The sequence below is a fragment of the Homo sapiens genome, chromosome 7, assembly GCF_000001405.40.
Source record: "Homo sapiens chromosome 7, GRCh38.p14 Primary Assembly".
NCBI lineage: Eukaryota > Metazoa > Chordata > Mammalia > Primates > Hominidae > Homo > Homo sapiens.
Window position 1 is genome coordinate 1,557,849 of NC_000007.14, and position 8,309 is coordinate 1,566,157.

The 8,309-nt window shown below is 60.8% G+C and overlaps 2 annotated features.

Moving 5' to 3' along the window:
• Nucleotides 2,000–2,500: an enhancer, noted in NCBI's record as "H3K4me1 hESC enhancer chr7:1599484-1599984 (GRCh37/hg19 assembly coordinates)". NCBI's record gives its function as "activates a minimal SCP1, AML or CMV promoter by ChIP-STARR-seq in primed H9 embryonic stem cells {active_cell/tissue: H9 hESC(primed)}" and the evidence as "EXISTENCE:reporter gene assay evidence [ECO:0000049][PMID:30033119]".
• Nucleotides 2,501–3,001: an enhancer, noted in NCBI's record as "H3K4me1 hESC enhancer chr7:1599985-1600485 (GRCh37/hg19 assembly coordinates)". NCBI's record gives its function as "activates a minimal SCP1, AML or CMV promoter by ChIP-STARR-seq in primed H9 embryonic stem cells {active_cell/tissue: H9 hESC(primed)}" and the evidence as "EXISTENCE:reporter gene assay evidence [ECO:0000049][PMID:30033119]".

Below are 8,309 nucleotides of genomic sequence, written 5' to 3' on the forward strand. Positions count from 1 at the left end.
GGGAGGCTCCCAGGTGGGGAACAAGCTCAGGAAGTCGTGCCCAGCTCTCAGGCCCGCCTTGCCTAACCTCCCCATCAGCGCCCACCCGGGCCCGGGCCCAGAGCCACAGCATGCACACCCTGGCTGGGCCCTCCTGGAGCCTGCCTGCTCCCCAGGCAGGGACCTTCTGGACCAACCGACCCTGCTCCCGGGTGACTCTGTCCTGCAGCCTCAGGCGTCACCTCTGGAGAGACCATCCCCGCTGTCCCATCACCCTCCTCACTGTGTGTGTGACTCCCTGTCCACCTGTCTGTGTTTGCTGCTGGTCCTCCCTCTGCAGGAGCTGCCAGAGCCTAGAGCTGTGCCCTGTCCATGCTCGGGGCACAGGGCTTGCGGGGTGGGGGCTGTCCTGCTGAGGCGGTGACCCTGTGGGCTAAGGTCTCCCTTTGGCCAGGCAGGGGTGCTGGAAGGCGGTCCCCAACTTCCATCCAGCTGCATTCCCACTGCAGCCACAGGTACTCCTGCCGGCCTCCCACCCGGCCTGCAGAGCCCCAGGCAGTCGGCTCAGCGCGTGTGGATGTCGCCCTCTGGCTGTGTCGGGATCACCGTCACGGACAACTATGAAGTGACGATGGCTGGGGGCCCGTTTGAAGGGTGAAGACTTTGGTGCCTGGGCATGCGCAGAGCTGGAAGGGACCGGGAATCCCCTCATCCAACTCGCTCATGCTACAGGCAGGGAAACTGAGGCCCCAGCCCCTGCTTGATTTGCGTCCAGCCCCCAGCACAGGATGAAGCCTCGGGCCCCTCCCTGGGCTGACGGTGGGAATGGCTGTGCAGACAGCAGGAGGCACTGTGGCTAGATGTCAGCAGGACCGTTTTGGCTGGAGCCAGCAGAGCCAGGCTTCTGGGAGGGCTCTGGCTTCGGGCAGGCTCAGGGCTTGGGCCCCGGACACAGACTGAGGGACCTCCAAAGCTCTGTCTTCCGCCAGAGGCAGATCCTCTGTGGAAAAAGGTGGGGTTTTCTCACAGGGCCAGCTGGGCACTGGACAGGGAGGCCTGCTGATCTCCTCAGCCCACAGCTGTCCCGGCTGAGCCAGATGCGCCAGCTCGGGAACCGTGGACCAAGTGTACTGGTCTGGGGATGTCAGGAGCAGGGCCTGGTCCCCAGGGAGGGGCAGTCGGGAGGTTGACCGCTCTGCCACCTGCTCACAGGGCTCGCCGGCTGATCGAGGCCTCACCCGGTGCTGGTGTCACAGCCTCTGCGCCCGGTCACAGGAGGCGGCAGGGCCGGCTGGGCCTGATTTTTCTGGCGGGGGCGGGACACTGACCAAGCCCATTGCAGGACAGACCTGTCTGCCCAGATCCAGGCGACGGGGCCCTCTGACCATTGTTCACTGCGTCCAGGTGCCCAGAGCTGTGGGGAGGCTGAGAAGCCGCCCAGCCAGTCCCACACCCTGGCCCTGGCACAGCCACCTCCTCCTGCTCTCATGAGAAACCCGGCTGAGGGCCCATGAGCTGTTGCCTGGTTCCAGGCCGGCTGCCCTGCTAGTGCCCACCCCGACCCCCTGCCTGCCCGTCTCTCTGCAGATGCGGACAGGCATGGTGTACCCCCCTGCCTGCCTCCTTCACTGCTGGGTGGAACTCGGGGCGCCCAGGAGCCGCCTCCTCAGGGCTGGCTCATTTGATGTCCCAGGCTGAGCTGCACACTAGGGGGATGAGGTGACCGGTGGGCACCCATCTCAGACACCCGGCTTCCCAGGTCCCGCGGCCCTCCCCTGGGGGCCCTGGCCAGCAGTTCACCAAGGCAGCAGCCCCGGGTGTGAGCAGGGGGTGACAGGGATGGGGCTCCACATCCTCCCGGCTCTGCTTCTGGGATTCCCCCGGCTCCTGTCCACGGGCACGGCCTCCTGAGAGCCGCGTGGGGCGGGCAGGCAGCATGGCCTCCTGGTGACCCACATGCCCCCTCCTCACTGGGGCCGGGGAGCAGCCCCCACAGCCAGGAGGAGCAGGCCCTGGACCACATGCCACAAGCTGGGGCCTGGCTCTGGCTGTGTGAGGTGTCTGTGACCTCAGGCAGAGCCTATGCCAGCCTGGGCCTGTCTCCACCGGCAAGAGCTATGCGGCAGGTCAGGGAGGCCGGGCCAGGGCCTCAGGTTGGCCTCCCTGTCATCTGCCCTTCTAGGGACGTAGGCTGCTGCATGGGAGAGCCAGCCTGGCCAGGCCCTGGGACTCAGCTCCACTGTCTCAGCTGACCTGGCGACCTGGCAGGTCATAGGGGGGCGCTTGCCTCAGCTTCTGACTCTCGAGCAATTCTGTTCTGCCTGAGCCCATCAGCCCCAGATCCCAGGGTGGGGCCGTCCCAAGGATCTGCTCTCTTCCTCCCATAGGTCTCCCGTCCTGTCCTCCGGGGCCAAGCCCCCACCTCCCTGCTCCTGTCCCTGGTCCCTCTGTTGCCCCCATCCCCAGAAAGTCACCCAGGGCCTGCCTATACTTGCCTTCACCTGAGGGAGCTGCCAGCCCTGGGCGTGTACGGGTCGGGGGCACCCTTTCATCTGGAGCCAGGATGGGGGGTGCTCGTCTGGCCTGGACTTGCCAGGCTGGCTGGAGACCCTGTTTGGTGTCCAGGTGCCGTCCTGGGGCCCAGCCTCTGAGGTGGCGGTGAGGCTTAGGGGTTGGCGGACTGTGATTCTCCGAATTTCAAGGTATGTTTTTTTTTTCGAGGAGCCCCCCACCCCATTGAAGTGCAGGGGCTCAGCCTGGACACCATACCCCTCTGGTATGCACCCCCTTCCCCCACACACACACTCTCGCACTCCCACACCCACGCAGCTCACCTCCCTGGTGGCGCTCAGCCTGTCAGGCAGGTTGGCTGCAGGTCTCTGGGCCTGAGGGGGGGGCCAAGGCGGGGTGGGCCTGAAGCTCGGCCCCCGGCCTCCTGGCCTCTGCTGCCGCCTCCTCACAGCGGCGGGCAGCCTGGGTCCCTGAGAGATGATTGCTCCTGAGCAGTGGCCTCTCCCCAGACCCAGGAACTCCTCCCAGCCCCACCCCCTCCCCACCCAGCCAGCCCTACCTGCCTGGGTACAGCTGGCACGGACCACACCCTCCACCTTCCCCCCTGCCCGGATTTTGGGACCCACATCTGTCCACGTGCCACCCCTGCCTCCTGCCATCCCAGCGGGTGTGAGCCTGGACCAATCTCCCTGTCCGGTGGATTTCAGACGTGGGACCACAAGTGGGCTGGGGTCCCGATGCCCCTTCACGAGTGACGCAGCCCCTGCCTCCCCTTCTTTGGCCCCCTCACCCCTGAAAAGTCCCATTCGGGAGCCTGAGGGTGTCGGGACACGGATCGCCACCAAGCTCTGCCCCTGCCCACGCACGCCTGCTACCCGGGTGACTGGAACGTGAGACGCACGCACGAGCTCCTGTGGGCCTGGAAGGTTGGGTCTCCCACCCGGGTGGGGCAGGACGAGCCCCTGTTTGATGGGGGAAGCTGAGTCAGGAGCTGCAGGCCCCTGGCTAATGGGTGGGGGGCAGGGTTGGAGCTGCGGTTTGTTCCCCCTTCCTGGGCTAAACCTTGGGTGGGGGGCGTCAAGCATGGCCCTGGACCCTGATCTTCCCTCCTGTGAAGTGGCCTCCACGGCGCTTCCCCTCCTGGGTGGGCGGGGTGAGGTCAGACGGGCAGGGCAGGTGCGTGTCCCAAGTCCTGTCTGCGAGTTCCATGGAATCCTGCTTAGGAACAGCACTGCTGGCTTCCCTTTCCTTGGAGACCCCTCCCTCCCTCCCCTGCCTTTCCTTCCAGACCCAGTGCCCCCTCCCGTCCTGTGTCCTAAATCATGCCCAGCTAGGGGCAGCTGACCTCTGCCCTCCTCAGGCTGACACCCACCTTGCCAGTGAGCAACTCCCAGCCCAGCTTCGCGCCTTCAGGTGCCGGGGCTCACGGCTTCGTGCAGCCTATTTCGGGGTGTTCTGGGGCCCACGAGAGCAGAGTCTTCATCAAAACATCCCCAGATGTGTGCTTCTTTCTTGCTTCTTCTTTTTTTTTTTTTTTTTGGAGACAGGGTCTCGCTGTGTCACCCAGCCTGGAGTACAGTGGCATGATCTGGGTTCACTGCAACCTCTGCCTCCCTGGCTCAGACCATCCTCCCGCCTCGGCCTCCCAAAGCGTTGGGATTACAGGCGTGAGCCTCGCACCCGGCATTATTTCTGAAAGCGAATCTGAATCCCCAGAGCTCTGGCGCCTTTGGTCTTCTCACAGTTGTTTTGGAATTCACGCATCCTCACTCTCTGCCGGAGCCACCCCTCACCACACACAAGACGGGGTTTGTTGTTTTTCTCGCTGCGATGCCAAACTATAAAACCAGCGTGGCAGGGTGCCTCCCTCAGTCATCTGCACATCATTCCGCTGTCTCTGGTTCATTCCCATCGGTCAGGCCCTCATTCCAGTCTTCCAGTCACTTACCGGGCCTCCTGTTCCAATTCCATTCCCAGGCACTCAACAAGATAGCCGAGGCCAGCTCACTCCGCTGGTCCCCACGTGCCACCGTCTCCCTCCGCAGGTCATTTGTCATCATCCGTCCACGTGGGCCCAGGGCTCTGTCAACCCCCTGGAGAAGCCGCTTGAAATGACAGCCAAGAACAGGGCCCCCACTGGCTCTTCTTGACCTCCAAGGCCCCCAGGTCCACTTAGGAAAAGGGGGTGGTGGGGAGGCTTGGGGAGATTCCCTCGCAGCTGAGCAGAAAACAGTGCTGGACGTCGCACTGTGTGGGCGCAAGGGCATCGCCTTAAAGAGTGAACACTGTCCACTGTCTCGGCCGCAGCGGCTGCCATGGGCCCCGTGTTCATCACTCACAGTGAGCCGTGAGTGTCTGGGAGCTGCGATTCCAGCTGGATCTCTGGGTAAAAACCACAGGCAGCTCATCCTCCTAAAGGAGCAGCAATCCCCAAAGCAGATGGCCCTGCCTGCAACCACAGCTGGCTCCACAGAGCTCCTCGCTGGAGCAGGGGCTGCTCAGGAGTGATGAGGCTGGGAGCGGGCCCAGAAAGCAGAGGGCCGGGGCCCTTCCACAGCTGCCGCCATCTGATTTACAGCACAGGAGCTAGCTGGATGGCGGAGGTGCTTAGCCTTGGTCTGTGTTGTTACCGGCTGCCAGGCGGCTGTGAAGGAGGACCTCGGGAGGGCACTGGGGGGCCAGTCTCAATTATATGCCCGTTTCGGCATCGCCTTCAAGGCGGGTGGCCGTGGGACCCTGCACATGACATGTGGCAGAGCTGTGTGGACATCCCAGGAGCCTCCAGGCAACCTGCCCGCCCCTCCTGAGCCTTAGCTTCTCCACAACCTACCTTTATTTTTTTTACGAAATTAATTTTTTTCTTTATACGCTTTTTTAGATATAGAGATGGGGTTTCCCCATGTTGCCGAGGCTGGTCTCGAACTCCTGGGCTCAAGCAATCTGCTTGCCGCAGACTTCCAAAGTGCTGAGATTACAGGCACATGCCTCCAAGCCTGGCTTTTTGTACTTTTAGTAGAGACGGGGTTTCGCCATGTTGGCCAGGCTGGTCTCGAACTCCTGGCCTCAGGTGATCTGCCTGCCTCAGCCTCCCAAAGTGCTGGGATTACAGGTGTGAGCCACTGTGTCCGGCCTTCATGACTTACCTTTGAAGGGCAGTCATGAGGGCCCAATTAGACAGGACAGGCCTCCCAGGCCTGGCTCTCAGGAGCCAATGCTCTCCTGAAAACAGTCCCGCACCAAAACAGTGCCGCACCAGACCAGCAGGCGTGGAGGCAAAGCCAACCTTGGCCTTGGCAAGAACCATTGCCCTGGTGCAGTTGCGGCGTGAAAGAAAAGGAAGCCGTGGCCGGGCACAGTGGCTCAAGTATGTAATCTCAGCACTTTGGGGGGCTGAGACAGGCGGATCACCTGAGGTCAGGAGTTCGAGACCAACCTGAACAACATGGTGAAACCGCATCTCTACTAAAAATAGGAAAATTAGCCAGGCATGGTGGTGTGCGCCTGTAATCCCAGCTACTCAGGAGGCTGAGGCAGAAGAATCACTTGAACCCAGGAGGCAGAGGTTGTAGTGAGCTGAGATCCCGTCACGGCACTCCAGCCTGGGCGACAGAGTGAGACTCCGTCTCAAAAAAAAGGAAGCCATGAAGGAGAACCACGGGGGCCCCTGACTGGGGGATGGGGGCTCCAGGGCACCCTGCATGGTGATTCCAGCTTCCCCACTCTCTGGGGTGCGGCCTGCTTCCGTGTAAGGAAAATGCGGGGAGCCACTCACGGGGTGAGGATTGAATGGGCAGCCCTGGTGGGAAGGGTGATCCCACGGCCAGTGAGCAGGTCTACTGTTATCGCTAAGGGACAGGTCAGGAAGCACAAGCCGCAGACCCGCATCCGGACTCACACTGGAGCCCCGTCCACGCCGTGTCCCCGCTGGTTACATGAGAGAAGCTGTGGCTCTTCCACAAAACTGTCCGGTTTTTATAGGTGGAGACAGGCATGTATTTAGACAGGCATGTATGTATTTAGACAGGCATGTATGTATGTAGACAGGCATGTATGTATGTAGACAGTCATGTATGTATGTAGACAGGCATGTATGTGTGTAGACAGGCATGTATGTGTTTAGACAGGCATGTATTTAGACAGGCATGTATGTATTTAGACAGGCATGTATTTAGACAGGCATGTATTTACACAGGCATGTATTTACACAGGCATGCATGTATTTAGACAGGCATGTATGTATTTAGATGGGGTCTTGCTCTGTTGCCCAAGCTGGGCTCAAACTCCCAGGCTCAGGCCATCCTCCCCGTCTCAGGCTCCCGAGTAGATGGGATTCCCAGCATGAGCCGCCACACCCAGCGAAAACATCTGACTTTTAGACAAGTGTGAGTAATTATGGGCTAATACCGAATGGCGAGGCTTCTGCCCGGGCACCCGCTCTAAGATATTAACCTGTTGATGTCACACCCTGGCCCCCGGTTCAAGGCTGAGCCCTCGGCAAGCTGCCCCCCGACAGGTCCCCTTCCTCTGGCGGTGATCCTGAGCCGCCCCCCGACAGGTCCCCTTCCTCTGGCAGTCATCCTGAGTCCCCGAAGCCGTCCCGACAGATCCCCTTCCTCTGGTGGTGGCCGAGTCCCCGCAGCCGTCCCGACACACATGCTACCCGCTGGGGCCTCGCTCCTGTGCAGATGCTCCTCCCCTTTTCCTCCCATTGACTCCTTCAAGGCCCTTAAAACTGTGGGCTCAGGTCCCCAAAGAGGCAGACACCAAATGGGACTCAACGTAGGATTTCATGAGGGGCTGGAGACCCCGATGCCAGCCTGCCCGAGGGAGGTTGGGTGGAAGCCCTGGGCAGGGAGTCCTATCTGCCGGGGATGGGTGTGCCTCAGTATCCCCTGGTGGCCCCCCCAAACGCAGACACTGGTGGGGGCAGCGGGCCCCTGCAAGGGGCCCTCAAGCATCGGTGCTTCCTCCAGGAAGTCTAGCAGGATCCCCACATGGGACTCCCCTGCTCTCTTCTTCTCATACTAAGGTTGCCTGACAGCCAACTGGGCTGTGAACCCGCAGGGGCAGGGACCACGGCTGTGGGTGACCCAGCAGGCACCATGGCACTGGGTGCTCAGCAGGTCCTCAATCTCCTGAAGGAGTGAGTCCTTGAAGAGTCAGTTTCCTTCTGTCCCATCTTTAGCAAACTCACCTTCCAAACTCCTTTGAAATCGGACCAGCATCTGAAACGGCCCCTCCCATCCCCTGTCCTCGAGGGTTTCTAATAGCGAGAAAATTGGCCAGGTGTGGTGGCTCACGCCTGGAATCCCAGCACTTTGGGAAGCTGAGGTGGGAGGATCACTTGAGTCCAGGAGTTCAAGACCTGCCTGGGCAACATAGTGAGACTCCCATCTCTACTAAAAATACAAAAATTAGGCGCTCCAGGCATGAGGCAGGCACCTGTAGTTCCAGCTACTTGGGTGGCTTGGCTGAGCATGGGAGGATGGCTTGAACCTGGGAGGTCAAGGCTGCAGTGAGCTGAGACTGCACCACTGCACTCCAGACTGGGCGACAGAGTGAGACCCTATCTCAAAAAAAAAGAAAGAAAAAGAAAATTGCAGGACTTCAGAAGCCATTAGAAATGAGTAGGGGTTAGGCTGGGTGCGGTGGCTCACACCTGTAATCCCAGCACTTTGGGAGGCTGAGGAGGGTGGATCATCTGAGGTCAGGAGTTCCAGACCAGCCTGAACAATATGGTGAAACCCGGTCTCTACCAAAAAATACAAAAAATTAGCCAAACGTGGTGGTGCACACCTACAGTCCCAGCCACTCGGGAG